The 23,822-nt window shown below is 41.3% G+C and overlaps 2 long non-coding RNA genes and 1 pseudogene across 5 annotated transcripts in view; 1 reads left to right on the top strand and 2 right to left on the bottom strand.

The window, feature by feature from the left end:
* The window catches only part of LOC107986023 (uncharacterized), a 142,619-nt gene that overhangs the window by 56,812 nt on the left and 61,985 nt on the right, over positions 1–23,822 (top strand). The window lies entirely within an intron of this gene.
* Positions 538–23,387, bottom strand: LOC105374107 (uncharacterized). Of its 4 annotated transcripts, XR_924482.3 has the most exons (7): positions 23,349–23,387; positions 17,804–17,940; positions 15,526–15,688; positions 14,342–14,410; positions 14,072–14,151; positions 12,799–13,106; positions 7,077–7,526 (listed from the first exon to the last, which is right to left on the bottom strand). It is a non-coding gene; the product is annotated as an uncharacterized LOC105374107 (long non-coding RNA). The 4 variants fall into 4 exon arrangements; XR_924480.3 differs by having other exon boundaries at positions 14,072–14,410; XR_001740494.2 differs by lacking the exon at positions 7,077–7,526 and adding an exon at positions 538–767 and having other exon boundaries at positions 12,799–14,410.
* Positions 8,681–9,472, bottom strand: GSTO3P (glutathione S-transferase omega 3, pseudogene; annotated as a pseudogene).

The following is a 23,822-nucleotide window of genomic DNA, read 5'->3' as shown; positions in this document are numbered from 1 at the left end:
GTTCTCAGGATCAAGAGTTTTTATATATGTAAAGGCCTCTAACTTGTTGCCCAACATATAATTGGGGCTCAATAAATACTTTAAAAATCAAATTTAGATCTCCAGATACAATAAACTTTAGTGGACTTTTCTCATTCTTTTTTGTTTTTTATTTTTTTTGAGACAGTCTGGCTTTGTCACCCAGGCTGGAGTGCAGTGCCGCAATCTCGGCTCACCGCAAGCTCCGCCTCCCAGGTTCACACCATTCTTCTGCCTCAGCCTCCCGAGTAGCTGGGACTACAGGTGCCCGCCACCACACCCGGCTAATTTTTTGTATTTTTAGTAGAGACGGGGTTTCACTGTGTTAGCCAGGATGGTCTCGATCTCCTGACCTCATGATCCACCCACCGCAGCCTCCCAAAGTGCTGGGATTACAGGCGTGAGCCACCGCGCCCAGCCGTCTCATTCTTTTGACTACCCAGCATCTATAATTTCTTCTAATCAGGCAGAGCTTGTCTGCCATCATAGAAACTGCAAAGAAGCAAGTCAGAGAAGAAGCAGAGACCACACTGAGTTTATTCTAGGGACAGGAAGCAGCAGGGCAGTGAGAGCAGGTCCATCCACTCTTTAGAGGCAGCATTCTCGGTGGTCATAGTAATAATGGCCCAGCAGTGCAGAAGTGCGATTTTCATTAAATCTGTTCTGTGGTGAGATTTGGGGCACTTTTCTAGCTGTGTTGCCTGGCAATCTGGTTGTTCTTCCAAAGATTCTGCATGCCATCCAGTATCCTTTAACATTTTGCATTGTTAAAGTATAGCATATATACAGAAAAACACGCACATAAATTTTTTTTTACAAAATGAATTTTTACAGACAGTGCATTTTTATAACCAGTGCTCAGATAAAGAAACAGAATATTACCAACATCCTAAAAGCTTCCTCATTCCCCCTCTAGTCACTACCATCTGCCATCCAAGGATAACCAAAATCCTGACTCCTAGCATCATAGATTAATTCTACTTGTCTTGTTTTTCTTTATACAAATAGTATCATACCACATTTGTTGTGTATGTCCAACATTATGATTGTGAAATTTATCCATGTTGTTTGGTTTAGTTGTATCTCATTCACTCTTACTAGTATAGCAAAGTATTCCATTCTATAAATATACTATAATATTTATGCATTTGTGTTGGGGGTTCTCAAGACCACCCTCAGGCTCAATGATTTGTTGGGAAGACTCACAGAACTCAGAAAAGCTGTTATACTCATGCTTAAGATTTATTTCAATAAAAGGATGCAGATTAAAATCAGCAAAGGGAATAGGTGCACAGGGTTGAGTCCAGGAGAAACCAGGCACAAGTTTCTAGCTATCATCTCCTGGTTGAGTCACGCAGATAGCGCTCAATTTTTTCAGCAATGGTATGTGGCAACACATGCAAAGTGTTGCCAACTAGGGAAGCTACTTAAGCCTTGGCATCCAGGATATTTATTGGAGACTGAACTACTCAGTCTCCAGCCCCCATAGGGTCAAATGGATACAGTGAGGCCTAAAGCCTCAGGCATACAAAAATAGGCATTTTGTTAGTGCTAACTAGCTGGCATAGCCCAAGCCATTAGGCATAAAAAGATACTCTTTTCGGGCACGATAGTCCAAGGGCTCAGACACCTTTTCCCAGGAATCAGGCTAAGGGCCATTGCTGAAGAACTTGGGAATATACAGGGTTTGAGTAGCCCAGGCCTACAGGGTTAACCCTTTATACATATCATTATACTGCTGATGAGCATCTAGGCAGTTTACATTTTTATTAATATGAATAGTGCTGCTGTGAACATTGTTGTACACATTTTTGTTAAAGATTTGTATGCATTTCTATTGGGTGGTTAACTAGAAGTGAAAATGGTAGATTATAGAATATAGCATTTGCTCAGCTTTTATATATACTGCCAAAGAGTTTTCCAAAGTGACTGTGCCAGTTTACACTCCCAGCATCAGTGTAACATATGGTTCCAATATCTTTTTTAAAAGCAGTTTTATTGGGATATAATGGACATACAATACATTCTATATTAAATTATCCAATTTGATAAATTGTGACATACATTATATTTACATCTGTAAAACCACCACCACAAGCAAGATAATAAAAGTATCATTCAAGATAATAAAAGTATCATTCAACTCCAAAAGTTTCCTTATATTTCCAGTATCCTCTCAATTGATTCATTTTTCTATTAAAAATCAGCCAGTCAGTTTCTGTTGCTTAAAACTGAGACTTCCTAGATGATATAATCCTATCTTGCATTTGTCTTGCATTTGTGCCCAGCTTGGTCCTCTGCACTTCTTTTCATTTCAATTCTTGCTGAGCAGCTTTGATGTATGCCAAGGACATAGATTCTGATTTTTGCCTGTGTGAGTCAGTTTGGTCAGATTCCAGGTCATCTGATTCTGGCTTTGTCCTCAAGACTCCTGGTGATTCCACACAGCATTTTATCTCCAGTTTTCTGCATATACTTCTTCCTGAACTACCTTACAGCCCCTGGCCCCAGTCCTTCCTGGTTGGCCCAGAACCAAACTCCTCTAGATTCATCCCTGAAAGGGTTTCCTAGATGTTAAGAGAAAGGGCTTTTTCCTCAGCTCTTCATTAAGTTGCATAGACTAGTGATATAGGTTGAATTGCATCCCTCCCTCCACCCCACCAAAATATATAGATGTCCTAACCTCCAGTACCTCAGAATGTGATTTTATATGGAGATAGGGTCTTTATTTCCATATAAGGCCATATAAGTAATCAAGTTAAAATGAGATTGGGGTGGACTCTAATCCAATATGACTAGTGTCCTTATAAAAAGGGGAAATTTGAATACAGATAACAGACATTTGAACAAATTTGGACACCATGACATAAAAACAAATAGAGGGAAGATGATGTGAAGAGAGACAAGGAAGAAAGCCATCTACAAGCCAGGGAGAGAGACCTGGAACAGATCCTTCCTTCACATCCCTCAGAAGGAACCAACCCTGCTGACACCTTGATTTCAGACTTCTAGCTTCAGAACAGTGAGACAATAAATTTCTGTTGTTTAAGCCACATCATTTGTGGTACTTTGTTAAGGCAGCTCTAGCAAATTAATACAACCAGGTAGGATGCATTAGCTTTTCTCCATCATTTTCAAATCATGTGAAGTACAACAGAGGATCAGAAGGCAGTGTCTGCCCTTTTGGAAACACTTCATTATAGAAATTGAGATTGGGGAGAAAATAACTTGGGAAGAGCAAACTAACTCAAGATTTTTTACTTTGGTCATGGCTAAATCCTGAAGTTCTATACTCCTTGTTCTTTTCTTTCCATTTTCTTGAATTGATAAGCACGATTCATTTTTCACAGCCATCTGTGGGAACACATGGACTACTTCAGTTAGTGGCTATTAAGATCTGTTCTACAGTCTGAGGGGGGTGATTTGGGAATGCTTTTCTCTTAGGTCCTTTTCATGGAAACTTTTCCAAAACAAAAGGTTAATGAAATTTCAATAGAGGCAGATACAGAATGTCTTGAAAACCCCCTGAAATATTCTCATCACCTTTAATCAGGTCATCTGACAGGCTACCTTCAAAGAACCCGACTTTAGACTGAGTCCTTGTAAGGGCTGATTTTGCTTTACTTGTAAAATGTTATAAAGTCTACTTGCCTTGTTGGTCAAAAGTTGATTAAAGAAGAAATATCAAGGAGAAAGAATGACAAACAGAAAATATATTGAAAATAACTTGGTTCCATTCTCCCTGTCACTTTCAGGTACACCAATCAGATGTAGATTTGGTCTTTTCACATAGTCCCACATTTCTTGGAGGCTTTGTTCGTTTCTTTTTACTCTTTTTTCTCTAAACTTCTCTTCTTGCTTCATTTCATTCATTTGATCTTCAGTCACTGATACTCTTTCTTCCAGTTGATCGAATCAGCTACTGAAGCTTGTGCATTCCTCATGTAGTTCTCGTGCCATGATTTTGAGCTCCACCAGGTCATTTAAGGGCTTCTCTACACTGGTTATTCTAGTTAGCCATTTGTCCAATCTTTTTTCAAGGTTTTTGGCTTCTTTGCAATGGGTTCGAACTTCCTCCTTTAGCTCGGAGAAGTTTGATCGTCTGAAGCCTTCTTCTCTCAACTCGTCAAAGTCATTCTCCGTCCAGCTTTGTTCCGTTGCTGGTGAGGAGCTGCATTCCTTTGGAGCAGGAGAGGTGCTCTGATTTTTAGAATTTTCAGCTTTTCTGCTCTGTTTTTTCCCCATCTTTGTGGTTTTATCTACCTTTGGTCTTTGATGATTGTGACGTACAGATGGGGTTTTGGTGTGGATGTTCTTTCTGTTTGTTAGTTTTCCTTCTAACAGACAGGACCCTCAGCTGCAGGTCTGTTGGAGTTTGCTGGAGGTCCACTCCAGACCCTGTTTGCCTGGGTATCAGCAGCGGAGGCTGCAGAACAGCGAATATTGCTGAATAGCAAATGTTGCTGCCTGATCGTTCCTCTGGAAGCTTTGTCTCAGAGGGGTACCCGGCCGTGTGAGGTGTCAGTCTGCCCCTACTAGGGGGTGCCTCCCAGTTAGGCTACTCGGGTGTCAGGGACCCACTTGAGGAGGCAGTCTGACCGTTCTCAGATGTCAAACTCCGTGCTGGGAGAACCACTACTCTCTTCAAATCTGTCAGACAGGGACGTTTAAGTCTACAGAGGTTTCTGCTGACTTTTGTTCAGCTATGCCCTGCTCCCAGAGGTGAAGTCTACAGAGGCAGGCAGGCCTCCTTGAGCTGCAGTAGGCTCCACCCAGTTTGAGCTTCCCGGCCTCTTTGTTTACCTACTCAAGCCTCAGCAATGGCAGGCGTCCCTCCCCCAGCCTCACTGCCGCCTTGCAGTTCGATCTCAGACTGCTGTGCTGGCAATGAGCGAGGCTCCGAATGGGCATATGATTTATTGCCCTTCCAGTTCAATCTGACAATAGAGAATATAATAAATTTGCCCCCCTGAGGAACTTCTTTTCCACTTCAAGTCCTTCGTTTGGCTATTTTCACCCTCCAATCTCTATCCTTTTCTAGTTTTTAGGTCTAAATTTGCAGATATTTCAGCAAAGCTGCATAATGACCTATTTGGTTGAGTCTTGGGAGTCAGATTCTGATTGCTTCTTGGAAGTGAGCACAGCGATATCCCCTGGGGCCTTGCTCTGATGCTATTAGTGAATATCTTGGTTTCCTGGAGATCAGAGATCCCTTTCTGCAGCTCTGGCTCCATTTCCTCCCGCTTCCATGGACAAGTGTCACTCCGCTGTCTACAGAGGTTGCTTTTTTCTTCTTTTTTAAAAATTGAGATTAAATCCATATAACATAAAATTTACTGTTTTAACCTTTTTAAAGTGTACATTTTGGTGGTTTTTAGTATATTCGCAGTGTTGTGCAGCTATCAGCACTAACTCCAGAATGTTTCCAGCACCCCCCAATAAAACCCTGTACCCATTAACTGTCATGTCCTGATTCCTCCATCTCCCTTTTCCCTGGTACCCTCTAATCTATTTTCTGTCTCTATGGATTTGCCTATTCTGGTTATTTCATATAAATTGAATTATACAATACTTGGACTTTGTGTCTAGCTTCTTTCACTTAGCATGTTTTCAGGTTTCATCCATGTTGTAGCATGTTTCGGTATTCTATTCCTTTATTTGGCTATCATCCCATTGTATAGATATACATTTTATTTTTATTTATTTATTAATTCATCAATTGATTAACATTTGGGTTGTTTCCATTTTTGGGCTATTATGAATAATGCAGCTATAAATATTCAGGTATAAGTTTTAGTGTGGACATATGTTTTCATTTGTACGTATATGTATTAATATATCCACAGGGTATATACCTGTGATTGGAATTGCTGGGTCATATAGTAACTCTATGTTTATGTTTTTGAAGAACTTTCAACCATTTTTTAGTCTTTTCGGGGAGAATAAGATGATAAGATTGATTTCAGACACACTGATGTTTAGGAGAAGCTGAGCTATCAGAGAGAAATGCCCACCATGAGTTGAAGATGCAAGAGTGGAGCCCAGGTAGGCATATCAAGATTGCATATGTCAACTTGGGAATCATTCAAATGCAGTGACTGCTAAACCTATGAGGGAGATGAGGTCTTTGAGGGTGATAACAGATAGAGAGAAGAAAATATGAGGAGCCTATGATAGGCCCAGCACTGCCTAGGATTGTACTTTACTTGTGTCATTAGTTTAATCATTACAACATAATTAAGTGAATGCTACTATTAGCCCCATTTTATAGATAGGGCAACTGAAGCTCACTGAGGTTAAGCATAGGAGCTAGTTTGCATAGTTTGTATACAGCAGAGCCAGGATTTAAATGCTGGCAAAGAACATAGATATAGCCAGAAGACATTTAGAAGATGAAAGCAAATTAAAAAGAAAGAGAGAGACCCATTAAGTGCAATAGGATGGGATAAGTGAGTTATTGTGTTCCAGACTAAAAGGAAGAAATTTTTTTGTTTTTTGTTTTAGAAGGAATATGTCAATTGTGCAGACTGTTACAAAGGCATCAAGTAAACACAGAAATGGGATAATATCTAATTATCCCATTTCTGACCCGTTACAATTCTCAGGATGTTTGCTATTTAGCTTTTAACTGATCTGTCCTGGCTGCTGCTCTATATGCATTTTCCTCTGCAGAACACCAGGACATCACTGGGTTGCTATTATAGACAATAAATGCATTTCAGAATGAGTAAGGAAACCGATTATTTACAGAGAAAACAGTTTCACAAAAACTTTTTTTTTTTTTTTTTTTTTGAGACAGACTCTCACTCTGTCACCCAGGTTGGAGTGCAGTGGCACAATCCTGGCTCACTGCAACCCCCGCCTCCTGAGTTCAGAGGATTCTCCTGCCTCAACCTCCTGAGTAGTTGGAATTACAAGCACATGCCACCATGCCTGGCTAATTTTTGTATTTTCAGTAGAGACGGGGTTTCACGATGTTGGTCAGGCTGGTCTTGAATTCCTGACCTCAGGTAATCCGCCTGCCTCGGCCTCCCAAAATGCTGGGATTACAGGTGTGAGTCACTGAGCCCGACCAAAAACTAAAATTTTTCAGTAAAATGAGATTCTTTCATGGTAAATCATGAAGTAAAATTTTGAATGCATAACACTAAATAACTCTTAGTACTAGAAGGAAAAAGAATTATATTGTAGCACTGAAATAAAACTGTATTGTATGGGTAATGAAGCAGTACCCTCACCTTTCTTCAGTATTTTATATCTTTGGCTTTTTTCCCCCCTTTTCAGATGGTGGCAGGTGGACTTGAGATTAAAGTGCCATTATTTCAGAGCACTGAAGCACATCCACGTAATGATGACATTATGTGAGAAATCTCGGGCAGTTTCAGTCCGTCAAGTCTTTTTCATTAGTAGTCGCAGGTATTGCTGGGGCTAGAGTCTTCCCCCGCTTCAGACTGTTGGTTTATTTGGCACTTCAGGATATTTTCAAAGATAAAATAAGGTTGGATTCCCTGAAAAACCAATTATAAAAGCTTTCCATACAAAGCTTTTGTATGGAAAATTGCCATGAAAAACTAAGGAACAAATGTTTTTAAGAGAAAAATAAGGTAAGAATAAAGTGAAATGGATGTCGTAGTAAGTCTCTGTTATTCGCAAGTCAATGGGTGACAACCAAGCAACTAACTAGAATACATTCACCCACTGGCTTGTCTGCAACTCAATTTTACAGGCCGCTCTTTGTTAGAAAACAAATGGTTTGGGGGCTGCTTTTTATTAAAAGAAAAGCCTTACCGAGAGCTCCTATGCCCTCACTATCTGGCTAAATAGCTTTTTCTAACTCCTATATTACTAGTTGCCTGGTACCTGGCACTGGGATGATTAAGGCAGAGGAATATTGTCTCTTGGGTGTATAAGTCAGATAGTTGAGGCAAGACTCTGGATTGGTTAGTTTGTATATCAAAGGCATGCATGCTCCTGGCTGAGTCTTTTGCTGTCTCTAAGAATTGGCTAACCCTGAAAGGGGCTGTCTCTCCCCAGCTAGATAGGTTTTTTTAAGATGTCAAAACATCATAACATAGAAAAATTTAAAAATATACAATCGAAAATGTGAGTTTTTTCCATAATTTGTTAATTATCATGAAAAGGCTAAAGCAATGAAGCATTGTTCTATTCTGAATATGAAAGAGGTAGTTACATTAAACTGAACTACAAGGTACTGTAAGAAAAGAAACCAAGTTCATTGAAGTCTTCCCAGTTTGGGCCATTTTCTAACATTAATTACATCTATGTTAATTACTTTTTGTTGATTATTCAAATTCATTCTATTTATTTATTTATAGGTAGACTCTAGCTCTCACCTAAAAGGGATTTAGAAAGGAAAAAAGACCTAAAATCAAATTTGGATAAGTAATATTAAAAAGCTGTTAATGTCCCATCAATCTGCAGAAAGCAGAGTACATTAGTATATTAATGTGGGCAGCAAAGGCTATCTGGTTAATACAGGAAAATTTCAGAGAGATTTATGTTCACTCTTCATCTCTTTTGCATCATTTTTTTCTTCAGGGTTGCCTGTCTTCCTTGTTACTAGTCCTTTGTGGTTTGTGTACTATTTGATCTCTTCTCTAAGGTTTTATTAGAGTTTTGATACCAACTTTTTTTTTTTATAAGTGAAGGAAAACATCAGACATAGCTTTATTGCTGACTCCAGCCCCCTTCAGAGCCCATAGTCACAGGCCTCCAGGCTGTAAGTAGAGCTCTGTGAAACCTTGCCAGTCCTTCACACCAGTGAGCAGGGCTGAGACTGTGGGATCTTCCCTCATGGCTGCCATCCACAGTTTAAGTTCTGGAGTGTGTTCTACACACTCATTTAACTTCATTGCTTCCAGCCGTTCAAACGAGGGCCAGATGACGTAGTCAATCATAGAGATGGAACTGCCACCAAAGAAGGTTGTCTTCTTATTAATCAGAACCTCCTCTAGCTTGCTAAATTCTTTACACAATGCTTCTTTCAGGCCAGCACCATCTTCCTTATTTTGGGTTCTAAGGAAGCTTCCTACCAAAGATGGCACCTTAGAAAACAACTCAAAGACCATCTTCTGGCAAGCTTTGTCATAGGGGTCATCCGGCAACAGCTTCTTCCCTGAGTATGCTTCATCCAGGTACTCACAGGTGATGGCAGACTCGTAGATCAGCTGACCCTGACTGTTTTCCAGAACTGGCACCAAACTAAAGGGATTTTTCTTAAAGAACCACTCAGGCTTATCTTTCAGGTTGATATAGATTACTTCATGCCTGATTCCCTCGGCCTTCAGAACCAGATGCGTCCTCTCAGCAAACGGGCAGAACCTCATGCTGCAAATGCAGATCAGGCCCTCTGGGACCAGCCCCAGGGGCGTGCTTCCCTTCCCCGGGCTCCTGGCTGACTCCTCTAACATCGCAGCGCAGCGCAGGCCAAGCTGCCAGTGCCGCGGGCTCTCGACATCAACATTTTGAACATTTGACATCTCTTTAAACTTTAAAATATTTAATGAAGTAAAAAAAACATCTCCAAAGTTATACAAACACATATTTTTGAGTAATCATTGAGTATTGACACATTTAGATTAGTATGACATTCTTATAACTACACTATTAAGTTCAAAAAGGAAGATACATTTCTATTTAGCGTTACTCATAAAAAAATTCAAAACTCAGGTTTTTGTTTTGTTTTGTTGTTCTTATTTGGTTTTTGGAGACAGAATCTTGCTCCGTTGCCCAGGCTGGAATGCAGTGGCGCAATCTCAGCTCACTGCAGCCTCCGCCTCCCAGGTTCAAGCAATTCTCTTGCCTCAGCCTCCTGAATAGCTGGGATTACAGGCATGCACCACCACGCTCGGCTAACTTTTGTATTTTTAGTAGAGACGGGGCTTTGCTATGTTGGCCGGGCTGGTCTCAAACTCCTGGCCTCAAGCAATCCACCTGCCTCAGCCTCTCAAAGTGCTGGAATTATAGGCTTGAGCCACCGTGCCTGGCCTCAAAACTCAGTTTTTAAAGATAAAGTAAAGAAATACTCAGGAGCTCATTCATTTCACATCTGTCACCTGACAGTGTCTACAGTTATTAATGACCTCATGTTGTTTTCATTGCATTTGCATGCCTGTGCATAAATCGTCCAGAATCATTATATGAACTACTTTCAGCTAAACCTTGGGAGAAATCATGCCTTGCATTTCAGACAAAGAAGTGACCAGTCCAGGGAGGGAATCAACCATGCTTACAACATTGCTGCTAATAGGTAATCTTTTTAAAAAAATGTATTTACTGCCTGCCACCATAGATGAGCCGGTGTGATTTGGGCTTCCTGGACCACACCCATTATGACAGAAACCTATTGGCATTTCCAAGACTCAAGACAGGCTATGTGCTCTCTGTTCCATAAGAAGAAGGGGCTAACAAGGCCTCAGTTATGACATTCAGGAAAGAAAACTGATATTATCAGTGGGGAAAATCCACTTATAACCAGCCCAGCATGTGTTAGCTATTGGAACCACTGTGAGAACTCTCTGTAGCCCTTATGTGTGGTCTAGAATCTTCTTTGCAGTTGATGACTATGACACAATTCAGTTCTAAGTCCACAAAAATATATGTTTTAGCCAGAATTTCCTATATTAACTAGATTTTTTCTGCTATCCAAATTCATGTAGTTTACTTTCTACAGGATACTAGGTTATCAACAGCTTTTAGGGTTGCTCACTCAAACTTCATTCTAGGTTTTTTTTCCTTCCTAATTTTTTTTGGGGTGAGAGTTGGAGTTTGTCTGTTGTTTTGCTGAATTTTATCTCCACAACCAGCCAATTCCCCTTCCCCACTTCTCTTAACCCTCCTTTGGTCCCAAGGATTTTCTCTCCTCTGGAAACAAATGGACATCTCGGCTTCTCCATATTAGATTGATTGCCTAGCTGGCTCCCTGCATCAAAGAGAACTTTGGTCACAGGGCATACAGTAACTATTACTCCATCGTCCTGCCTGTGCATAGTTAGGTGATAGCACAAGTGCCACCCCTCCCCTTTCCAACAAAGAGAGAAACAAGATTAGAGTTCAGCACTTGGGCTATTATTTCATAAAGAGTTCAGTGCTTCAGCACAATTGCCTGATCTTTATCATCACAATTCAATTTTTCAGGATACACTGAAGAGAAAAAATCATGTTCAAGTTATCTTCCTCCTTGTACAAGAACATCCAGCAACACCCCCCTCCTCCCAATTCCCAGAGGAGGACAGCAGCCACTGCAATTACTGAATGCCATTAGAAATACCAAGATGAGTCCCCTCCATTTCAAGACTTGAGAGTTTTGTGCTTTTTCAGGCACAGAGAGTTGATCTGACTTTTCTTCTTCTGAAAGCTTTCTGCAGGGCCCTGCAGAATAACTTTTGCTTTGATTACCCAGTGATTTACAGCCCTTCTCATTTGCTTCTCATATCTCCTTTTTCCAGAGTATAGGGAGCTCTCCTTTTACTCTGAGGAGGCAACCTCTCCTGTTGCCTCAAAGCAATTTTTCTTATCATCTCCTGGAATTTCAAGGCCTATCTCCTTTATGCTCTTTTGATTCTCCTAAATAATGATTGTCTATTTTCTTTCTTCTTTCTTCCTGCTTCCTATCTTTCTCCCTCCCTTCCTTTTTTCCTTCCTTTCTCTCCTTTCTCTCTTCCCCTCCCTCCCTCCCTCCTCCCTGCCTTCCCTCCTTCATTTCTGTCTTTCTTTCTGTTTTTCTTTCTTTCTGACATCTGTGTTTTCATCACAGGGGCAGATTTAATATAAACACAGAGCACTGTAATTCTAATAGAGAAAGAAAATAATACATTCTTGATCTCATATGTACCTAGTTTGTATCTGCAAGTGGTCTTGTGAATTATACAGTTTTGTAGTAATAGTTGTCTCAGTATTCCTGATATGTCTGCAAAATAGCATGCCAATACCAGATATAAGAGAGATGTGTTAGCAGGGCTCCTCTCAGAAGCAAAGCTGAGACAAAGATTGAGTGCACATAGTCTATTTGGAATGTTGAGAGAGAAGGGCAGAAGAGAGAGAAAGAAATAATATAACGAAGCTAGTCTATAAAGGGACACTATTAAGGCAACTACCATAGTGTCCACCTGAAGTTTCATCCTGTAGAGAAGTGTTTTAAAATGGTGCAAAACGCATGCTTCATTATGATTCCAGTCAAGGGGCAAGGGAGCTGGAGTATTTATACATTGTACTTATTAAGTTTTGGTTAAAGGATACCACTGATGGGTTATGAGTTACCTAGGCACTTTGGATCTGCCCTGCATGGAGGCAAAGTGGGTTCCAGCAGTCTGAGGGCAGCCCTCTAACAAAGTTGTAGATGCTGACTGTTGGAAGGCAGGCTGGCATGCACCAAAGTGAGGCCATATGGAAGGGGCACTGGTGTATCTACTGTAGGGAATCAACGGAGCGAGGCTGGAGGGCTTAGATTAAAATCCCACTACCTATGCAACAAGCAACCAATTTGAAAGTCATAATGGTGGTGGACTATGTTGTGACCTCAAAGTTTTCTACAAACAGGTGGCCCAGGTAAGCAGATAGTCAGAGGAGTAGCCATTTGTCATTCTTCTAGCTGCCCAGCCCCTAAAACCTTTCCTACTGGGGAGCTCTACACCATTAAGTGACTTGGTAAAATGCTCTCATTCCAAAAGCCAAAAGGGCTGGCTAACATTTTCTTTCCTTGCTTCCTTGTAGCCAGGATATGGGCAGGTGATCTGGCCTTAGTCATTGAAAGACTCCTACCTGGGACTTCTAATCTTCAGCAAGTAAGGCAAAGATGAAGGAACTGTGTGTGGGGTTTTTCTTGATGGTGCTTTTGGGAGTGCAGGAGCAGAGGAGTCAGTGGTAGCAGCCTAACAGCAGTGATGCAAGTATGACCTTGCTTCCTAATTTGTGCCCATTTTCACATGTCCTTCCAGCAAATTTGTCTTCTGTTTTACTTAGCAAGTCTTGGCTTCTGTTGTCTGCCACTGAGAACAACTGACCTTTGAGAATAACAAAATTTGGAATGCAGGCCATGCCCTGCTCTGTGCAGACGACTTTTCTAGGATCTAGAGACAAGGATGAGAGAAATAAAGGCAATAGATAACAGATGTTTCGTCTTCAACAAACTCATAATCCGGTTGAACAGATAGATACAAAGTAAATTCATGCAAAAAAGCCTGAAATATACACACTTACATTATCTCATTTACATATGTTATCTCTTTTACTTAATTATCTTTTATATACTTGGGGTCATCTATCCTCAGAAACCCTGCCCAGGAAGTACTATTGCCTAGGATTTACAGAGGAAGAAACTGGGGCATGGAGGAATTAAGTAATATTCTCAGAATTCTACAGAGTTAAGTAATATTCCCTGAATGCTACAGTCAGGACATGACAAAATCGAGACTCAAACTCTATTGTGTCTACTGTGCCACGTGCCCTTCCCATTAGCATTCTGTTTGGGAGTACCTTGCTGTACATGGACAAGGGGCTAGAGCAGGGGTTGGCAGACTATGACCTACACGTTAAATCCAAACAGCCAATTCTTTTTGTAAATAACATTTAATTGGAGCACAAACATACTCATTTTCTTTTGTATTGTCTATGGCTGCTTTTGAGTTATAATAGCAGAATTAAGTAGTTGCAACACAGACCATATGGCCTGCAAGCCTAAAATATTTACTATCTGGCCCTTTTCAGAGAAAGTTTGCCAACCTCTGAGCTAGAACATAGATTTAAACAACTTAGTTTTGCTGAGTTAAGCTTCTCAGGGTCTTATAACTGGTGTCATCCGATCTGCACTATTCTAGGGACATTAATGACTATGTGATAAGTACAAAGCAATAGCCATGTGATTATAATATATTAATAACGATGATAATAACTGTCATTAATGAGGACTCCCTATGTTCAGGTTCTGTGATGAATGCTTCACTAATATGCTGTAACTAGCCTGATTTCAGGTTCAGAGAGGTTAAGTAAAATTGTGCAAGAGCAGAGAACTGTTAAGTGGCAAAGCTGGATTTACCCCACATCAGTCTGTCTCCAGAGGCTGGGTTTTAACTAGCATACTTTACTGTCTTTCACATCCATCATGAAGAGTGAAATCTAGAAAAAAAGAAAAGGCTAATTTTCTGAGCCTCTGTGGAGGCAGGCAGATCATCAAGGGCCACCTGAAGAAGCTGGTGTGAATGAGACAGTGAATGTCAGGTGATTCAGAGCAGGGAATGTTTGGTTGTGATGGTCACTTCTGAAGTTGTCAAGGTTCCACTTGTAACAAGGTTCCACTTGTAATTACCAGAGTTGCTTTAAGTTTTCTCAGTGAAACATGTTGACAAACCATTCAAGATAACATTGCTGTAGAAACCTAACAAAGATGAAACAGAAGCCAATTTAGTTCCTCATCCACTAACATTTGGCTTTCAAGAACTTCTGAAAATTTTGAATGACCCATCTCCCAAACCTTTACAGCTTCAATGATAATATGGAGAATTTTCCTGCTCTACCCATGCTAGTGCAGCAAGAGGGTGGATTGTGAATCCTCTTAAAGAGGATTTAAAATAGGCCTGCCTGGTCTTGGAATGTCAATTGCACAGTGCCCTGCCTTGTTGGGAGATTCAAGATAGTTCATGACAGTGATGCCAAGGGGCAACATCATTCCCTTGGCTTCAGCCTTACCTGCTCCCTGTGTTAAGGGAGCCTTTACTTACCCAAGGTGTTGGACACCCAAGGATGTAAGCAGCCTCAAAGCTTCCCACTGCACCCTAAAATATGCAGAGCTTGGCACTGGTTGCCCTCAAATTTTGGAATCCCAGTTCTGAACACAGAACTGCAATGTGAGTCTTAGAGTCTAAATTATGGCTATTAGCCTGGACACTTTCAAGGGCAGGGAGAACCTCTTACTTCTCTTGGTATTGTCTCTGCCTAGCATATTTAGCATATTGCTGGGCACAGAGTAGATCATAGAAAAAGATTTAGTGCACCACTGTATCAGCCTCAAGGAAAGTCGAGACAGGACAGCTGGCTGTATTTCTTCTTTATTCATGCATGGCATTCCCTGGGTTCCTGTGGGCTAGGGCCCAGGATCAGACTTCAACTCCTGAAACCCTTAGCCTGGTGCTCTGGGTCTCATGTACCCAGAAAAGAATAGTAATATTAATAATACAATAAAACAACTACCATTTTAGGAAGAGCTAAAATTTATTTGATGATTAAACCTACCTATAAGTAGATGTTATTATCCCCATAATATAGATGGGGAGAATTAGACTCAGAGAAAAAGAAAAAACTTGTTCCTAGATTACTGTATTAATTTTTTATTGCTACATAACAAATTACATACCAGAAATTTAGTGCCTTAAAACAACATACATCTATTACCTCAAAGTCCTCATGGGAGAAGTCTGGGCACGGCTGGTCTAGGTCTTCTACACAGGATCTCATAAGACTTCAATCAAAGTGTCAGATTGGATGTATCCTTACCTGAGTACTTGACTGGGGTAGAATCTGTTTCCAAGCTCATCCAGGTTGTTGGAAAAATTCATTTCCTTGCAGCTGTATGACTGAGGCCCCAACTTCTTACTGGCTTTCAGCTGGAGGTCCCCTTCAGGTCCTTGAGATGACCCACAGTTCCTCCCATATGGCCCTTTTCATAGATAGTTTATATGGCTGTTTGTTTTTTCAAAGCTAGCAAAGTCTCTCACCCTAGTTAACTAAGATGGAGTTTTATATATCATAACATAAATCATACATAAATCATAGGAGTGACATCAAATCGGCTTTGCCATATAATGCAACGTAATTACATTCCATCAGTAGTGACATTCCATCACATTTGCCATATTATGTTGGTTAGAAGCAAGTCAGACTTTCCACTTGCACTCAAAGGGAGAGGATTACATAAGGATGTAGGATTATGCAAGGGTGTGACTCATTGGAGGTGGCCTTAGGAAGTGCCCACTACAATTACATCACTGCTATGTGGCAGAGCAGGGATCAGAGCCATGCCACACTGCCTCCCTGGCACTTCTAGGTTCCCTCCTTTCTCCATCTGCCCCTTTTGCTACATGGAATTGTCCTGTCACATGAGTCTCAAGTCGTAGGATTAGAGACACCTTTGACTGCCCTCAAAGTCATGCTCATACTTTTTTATGATTGAATCCTTTCCTTTTTTCAATATAAACTCTCTTGAAAGAGGGTTTAAAACAGGCTTTCTTGTCTTGGAATGTAATTTACGTAGTACCCAGTCTTGTTGAGAGATTCCAGGTGGTTTATGATGATAAAACAACCAGCAGAGCCCTTAGAGTGAACCTAGGCAGATATACTATGAAAACTCAATACTCTCTTACATGGGCTGAATTCTATTTCCCCTAAGGACAGCTTCTATATACATGCAAACAAAGATTTAACAAATGTCCATAGAAGAAGAAAAAGACTAAAGGCTATTTTTCAGTTTAAGTCAGTTCAGAAATACTCATGTCTGGATATAATTTAAATTCCCAATGAAATGCAGTGGAGATAGATCAATGGCACAGCCTCTGTGAAGAAAATTGTCAACGCATGAGACACCTCTGTCAGAGTGTCCCATCATCTTTTTATTTCTGGGAAGACAGACCCTGTCTCATGACAGGGTCATGACAACCTTATCATAGAGGTTGGCATATATCTGTGGATGTGCCTGATTTCTTGGCCTTTTTTCATTTTGTCTAAATAGTGATACAGTATAGATCTGATTTGATGAGCAGACTCCACAGAGAGCTTTGTCTACTGTTTATTGGTTTGTGATGAAAAACAACTCTGCAGAAACATAAAGTGTGTTCTGCTCCTGAGTCTGAGACGGATTCCAAGTTCATTCAAACTCATAAAAAAAATTGAAAAAGGGAATAGAAACTCAAGCTGGTCTTCATAGGGAATAGGGATTGCTTTAGCAGGTATACTAAAGTTTTTCATCAAAAGTAAGTTAGGCAGCCCAAATACAATTTTTATAATATGCCAGTACATTGTACAGTGCTCCCATCAATCACAGCAGGATAATGCCACAGTAAAGAAAGGTCATGGAGGAAAGCAGAGAATTTAGCTGAGCTGAATTTATTAAAATACTGTAGAAGCAGATAAAGGCAGTCCATGCAAAGCTCAAGTCTATACAATACTATTGTGTGTATAAAAGAAGACAAGGTATTTACTTTTTGCCACCCAAACTTTAAAAAATACATACAATTTACAAAACCGTGTTGCTTTTTAAATTGCTTTTGAATTGGGGGAACTATTTATTTAAGCAGGTTAAACCAAGGAAATAAATGACAAAATAATGTTCAGTATTTTATGTAATGAGATACTTGATTGAGTTCCACGAAAGAATGGTGATTACAGACTAGTCAGTGGGAAGCTGCTATTACACTAACCTTTTGCCATTCCTTTATGACACAGACCCACAGTGGAAAATGTAGTTGTTATTTTTGAAAGTGGATCCTGATTCTTACAGGACTTGATTGCTAGGGGCATGGGGGATAGCAGTGAGGAGGAGAAGAAGGGAGGGAGAGAAGATCCAGAAGTTTAGAAAGTTAGACCTAGTATGACTGGGCACTGGCTGGGGTACAGGTGAAGGCAAATATCCCCCTCTACCCAACTCCCCTACCCTGATCCAATATTAGAGAAGAGTTGTGGAAGAAAAAAGAAAAGGTGAGATTGGTAATTATTTGATTCCTTAGGATACCTCTGCTATAATAGAAAACTAAATTGAGGCAACAAAATCATGAAATACCTCCTATAATAAGAAGTTGGAGGAAGGAGAATCTCAGTATGAGGTGGCACTCTAAAATTCTCCTGGCGTTCTCCTCCAGCTGCAAGGTGGTAGCTACTGCTCCAAGCATCTTATCCTTACAGGATGCAGGGTGGGGGCTGGGGGAAGGTATGCACAGAAACAGTAAAAGGAATGAGTCTCACATGACCACAAGAAGCCAAAACACAGAGCAGAACTGGAAATTGTCCATGAAAAGATTGTCAAACTCTGTTAAATATTTGAAGGGATTTATTCTGAGCCAAATATGAGTGACCAATGGCCTGTGATACAGCCCTCGGGAGAGCCTGAGAACATGTGCCTGAGGTGGTCAGGCTACAACTCACAACTTGGCTTTATACATTTTAGGGACACATATCAATCAATGCGTGTAAGATGTATTATATTGGTTTGATCTGGAAAGCAGAAAAACTGAAAGCCAGGACAAGGGGGCTTCCCAGTCATAGGCAGATTCAAAGATTTTCTGATTGGCAATTGGTTGAAAGTGTTGTTATCTAAAGACCTGGAATCAATAGAAAGGAATGTCTGAATTACAATAAGGGGTGGTGGAGGCCAAGGTTTTACCACGCAGATGAAGCGTCCGGGTTTCAAAGAGAATAGATTATAAATGTTTCTTATCAGATTTAAAGAGGCTATTCTATTAGTCTTAAGGTCTGTGTTGATGTGGATGCTGGTCAGCTGTGCCTGAATTCCAAAAGGGAGAAGGGCATAATAAGGCATGAATTACTCCCTCTTCCCATCATGGCCTGAACTAGTTTTTTGGGTTAACTTTGGAATGCCCTCGGCTGAGAGGGGTCCATTCAGATGGTTGGAGTGTTAGATATGAGTTCTAAATTTCTTTTCAAAGAATTAATGTGTCAGTATGTTCAATTCTTTGCCTTCTACTTTTAAACTTAACTTCCTCATAAAGCAACCTTTTTTGATTACCTACTCCACCCTGACTCATTCTGATTACCTGCTCCACCCTGACTCATTCCAATTACCTGCTACCGGTTCTGCCCTGACTCCCGCCAAAGCACTCACCCTGTCATTCTCTTTAAAGTAGCCAATTGGAATTACTTTAGCCTGTGCAGTCTAACCCTAGCCAATGGGGGAATGGCACAGCAGCAGGGTCCATGTGCATCAGGGATAAGAACTCCTTCCCCTCCCTTGTCCAAGTGTGTGCTCACCATTGTTCCATCTGTAAGGGCGCACCCTTCTATAGAAGTAACTTGCCTTGCTGAGAATTAAAAGGAAAACTTTATATTCGAGTGCTATTCCTTTTGCAGCACTGAAACTTTACATATAACAGGAGGATCTTTGAATTTTATTTTTTGTTTATAAAATAAAATATCCTTTTATAAATGGAAGGAGTATGGCTTGGATTTAAAGAGGATGGGAAGAAGGGAGGAGAGAAGTGGGGGAGGCAAGTATGAATTCTGGCAAAGTGCTCTGATCTACCCTTGATAGATGCCATTATTTGGAGGAAGCAAAAGAAAAACCAATCACATGCAATTTACTTCCAATTCAAATATTTGGATTTATAGAAAACTTGGATATAGGCCCGACTAGGGCCAGAATAAGCTTTCAGGATTGTAGTTAAGGCTCTCATCAGAGCTATGAGTAAAAGCTACACAATGGCTCAATTCAAACATTTTAAAAAGTAGAAAGAATCCCAATCCCATTATATAATTTTCGTAGAACCCCAAATTTCAATTCACAAAGGCTCATAGGATAATTCCCCTCTGTGGTATTTGTCAGAGTCTCTCTTCTCATGAATTTATTTTCTTCTTCCTTGTTAGAGCAATGCCATACTTTTCAGCCTTGTTTTTTTTCTTCTCATTTTAGGCCTCAAATTTTTTTCTGTCTAGCTCAGCACTGATGCTCACTCACTTTTCAGGGAAACAAATTATTTCAATATGAGTATGAACTTGTCAGACCAAGACCCCAGGAATACTGCTTGTTTTTAGGAAGAGAATTCCAGCATACAGCTGTGGCTTGAAAACTTTTAAACATCCTCGTATGTTTACGTGGCAGAACTGACAGGCACAGGTGAGATTTCCGACACAGACGAGCTTCCAGAGGGGTGGTATAGGATGATGAGTGAGATGCAGACTCTGGACTCAGACTGCCTGGGTTTAACATTTGATAAAATTATGACCTATTCTGTGTGGGATGTTGCAAGCTGTGAAATCATATGTAATCATTTTGTCATCTGTAAAATGTGGATGATGTCATTAGCTACCTCATAGAATTGTTGTGAGGATTAGAGTTAAATATCACCAAATCCCAACTACTTACCATCTCCATTAATACCTATCAATGTTGTCTAAGCTGTCATCATCTCTTTATGGGTCACAATGTCCTCACTAGTCTCTTTGTCTTTACCTTTGCCCAGCCACACAGCAGCCAGATGTATTCTTTTGTAATGTAAATCAGATGTAATGTCATCCTTCCGCTCACCACCCTGCAAAAGCTCTCCATCTCAGTCACTGGAAAGATAAAGTCTTCACAATGGCCTTATAGGGTCTTATGGACCCTAAATGACCAGGCCTTTCATGATCTCTCTGACCTTGTCTCCTGTCGGCTTTTCCTTCCCTCACCTATTCCAGTCACACTGGCCTCCTTGCTGTCTTTGAACACACCAGCTGTTCTTCTGCCTTAGAGGATTCACTCTGGCTGTTCCCTCTGCTTAGAATGTTCTTTCTTCAGATATCTACATAGTTCACTCCATCTTCCCCTCCCTCCCCTTTTGGACAGCTTTATTGAGACAGAATTTACATGTCATAAAATTCACCTGCTTTAAATACACACTTCAGGCCTGGCACAGTGGCTCACACCTGTAATCCCAGCACTTTGGGAGGCTGAGGTGGGTGGATCACTTGAGGCCAGGAGTTCAAGACCAGCCTGGCCAATATGGTGAAACCACATCTCTACTAAAAATACAAAAATTAGCCAGGCATGGTTGTGCATACCGGTAATCCCAGCTACTTGGGAGGCTGAGGCAGGAGGATTGCTTGAACCCAGGAGGCAAAGGTTGCAGTGAGCCGAGATCATGCCACTGCCCTCCAGCCTGGGTGACAGAGTGAGACTGTGTCTCAAAAAAATAAAATAAAATAAAAATAAAAATAAATACACACTTCATTGGTTCGTAGCATATTTACAGAGTCGTGCAATTATCACCACAATCAATTTAGAACATTTTCATCACCTCAAAAAGAATCCTTGTACACTTTAGCTAGCATTCTTCACTTCTTCTGTCCCTCCCAGCACTTAGTGTGTTTTCAAGGTTCTTTCATGTTGTAGCATGTATCAGTACTTCATTTCTTTTTATGGTCTCATAATATTTGTTGTATGGATCTCTACCACATTTTTTTTATCCATTCACCCCTTGATGGAGTTTCCACTTTTTGGTTATTATAAATAATGCTGCTATGAACATTCATGTGTAGATCTTTGTGTTAACATATTTTCAGTTGTCTTGGGTATATACCTAGTAGTGGAATTGCAGGGTGATATGGTAATCTAGCTTTAATCTTTTGAGGAACTGCCAAATTGTTTTCCAGAGTGGTTGTACTATTTCACATCTCCACCAGCAGTATAAGAGGGTTCCAATTTCTCCACGTCCTCTCCCATACTTATTTGATTCTAGCCACTCTGGTGAATGTACAGTAGGTTTTGATTTGCATTTCCCTAATAATTAATGATATTGAGCATCTTTTTATCTGCTTATTGGCCATTTATATACCTCCTTTGGAGAAATATCTATTCAAATTCTTTGCCCATTTTAAATTCTGTGACTTGTCTTCTTGTAATTGAGTTGTAAGAGTACTTTATACGTTCTGGAAACAAGACCCTTATATATGTGATTTGGAGATATTTTCTTCCAATCTATGCATCCTTTTGAGAGGTGACAATGTGCCAGCAGCCCTCACTTGCTCTCAGCGCCTCCTCGGCCTCAGCATCCGCTCTGGCCATGCTCGAGGAGCCCTTCAGCCCATCGCTGCACCGTGGGAGCCCCTCTCTGGGCTGGCCAAGGCCAGAGCCGGCTCCCTCTGCTTGCGGGGAGGTGTGGAGGGAGAGGCACGGGCAGGAACCAGGGCTGCATGCGGTGCTCGTGAGCCAGCGTGAGTTCCAGGTGGGCACATGCTCTGCAGGCCCCGCACTCAGAGCAGCCAGCCAGCACCACCGGCCCAGGGCAGTGAGGGGCTTAGCACCCGTGCCAGCAGCTGCGGAGGGGGTGCCGGGTTCCCTAGCACTGCCGGCACACTTTCGCCATGCTTGAATTCTTGCTGGGCCTCAGCCGCCTCCCCTTGCGGGGCAGGGCTCGGGACCTGCAGCCTGCCATGCCCAAGCACCGCACCACCCCCCACCCCGCCCCACTGCTGCAGTGGGCTCCCGCGCAGCCCGAGCCTCCCCGACCCATCGACTGCCCAGGGGCTGGGGAGTACGGGCACCCCGCACGGGACTGGCAGGCAGCTCCACCCACGGCCCTGGTGCGGGATCCACTGGGCGAAGCCAGCTGGGCTTCTGAGTCAAGTGGGGACTTGGAGAACTTTTATGTCTAGCTGGAGGATTGTATATGCACCAGTCAGTACCCTGTGTCTAGCTCAAGGTTTGTAAACATACCAATCTGTGCTCTGTGTCTAGCTCATCTAGTGGGGACTTGGAGAACTTTTATGTCTAGCTAAAGGATTGTAAATGCACCAGTCAGCACCCTGTGTCTAGCTCAAGGTTTGTAAATGCTCCAATCAGTGCTCTGTGTCTAGCTAATCTAGTGGGGACTTGGAGAACCTTTATGTCTAGCTAAAGGATTGTAAATGCACCAATCAGTGCTCTGTGTCTAGCTCAAGGTTTGTAAATGCACCAATCAGTGCTCTGTGTCTAGCTAATCTAGTGGGGACTTGGAGAACCTTTATGTCTAGCTAAAGGATTGTAAATACACCAATCACTACTCTGTGTCTAGCTCAAGGTTTGTAAACGCACCAGTCAGTGCTCTGTGTCTAGCTAATCTAGTGGGGACTTGGAGAACTTTTGTGTCTAGCTCAGAGATTGTAAATGCACCAATCAGCACCCTGTCAAAACGGACCAATCAGCTCTCTGAAAAATGGACCAATCAGCAGTATGTGGGTGGGCCCAGATAAGGGAATAAAAGCAGGCTGCCCCAGCCAGCAGCCGCAACCTGCTGGGGTCTGCTTCCGAAGTGTGGAATCATTGATCTTTTGCTCTGTGCAGTAAATCTTGCTGCTGTTCATGCTTTGGGTCCGCACAGCCTTTATGAGCTGTAACACTTACTGCAAAGGTCTGTAGCTTCACTCTTGAGGCGAGTGAGACCACCAACCCACCAGGAGGAAAGAACAACTCTGGACGTGCTGTCTTAAGAGCAGTAACACTCACTGCGAAGGTCTGCAGCTTCACTCCTGAAGCCAGCGAGACCACAAACCCACCAGAAGGAATAAACTCTGAACACATCTGAACATCAGAAGGAGCAAACTCTGGACACACCATCTTTAAGAACTGTAACACTCACCGTGAGGGTCCACAGGTTCATTCTTGAAGTCAGTGAGACCAAGAACCCACCAATTTCGGACACACTTTCACTTTCTTGATGTCCTTTAAAATGCAAAAGTTTTAAATTTTGATCAAGTCCAATTTATTAATGTTTTATTGCATGAGCTTTTGGTGTTATATCTAACAAATCATTACCCAGTCCAAGTTTGTGAAGATTTACACCTACATTTTCTTCTAAGTATTTCATAATTTTGGTTCTTACATTTAAACTTATGATTCATTTTGAGTTAATTTTTTTTGTATAATGTGAGATAGAGGTCCAAATTTATATTTTTGCATGTGAATATACAGTAGTCCCAGCACCATTTGTTGAAGAGGCTATTTTACCAACATTAAATTACTTTTGCACCTTTGTCAAAAATTAGTTAACTGTAAGTGCAAGTAGTTTATTTCTGGGCTCAATTCTATTCCATTTATTTATATATCTATCCTT

The sequence above is a fragment of the Homo sapiens genome, chromosome 3, assembly GCF_000001405.40.
Source record: "Homo sapiens chromosome 3, GRCh38.p14 Primary Assembly".
Taxonomy (NCBI): Eukaryota; Metazoa; Chordata; class Mammalia; order Primates; family Hominidae; genus Homo; species Homo sapiens.
The sequence above is the reverse complement of the archived record's forward strand: the minus strand, read 5'-3'. Positions and strand labels throughout refer to the sequence as shown.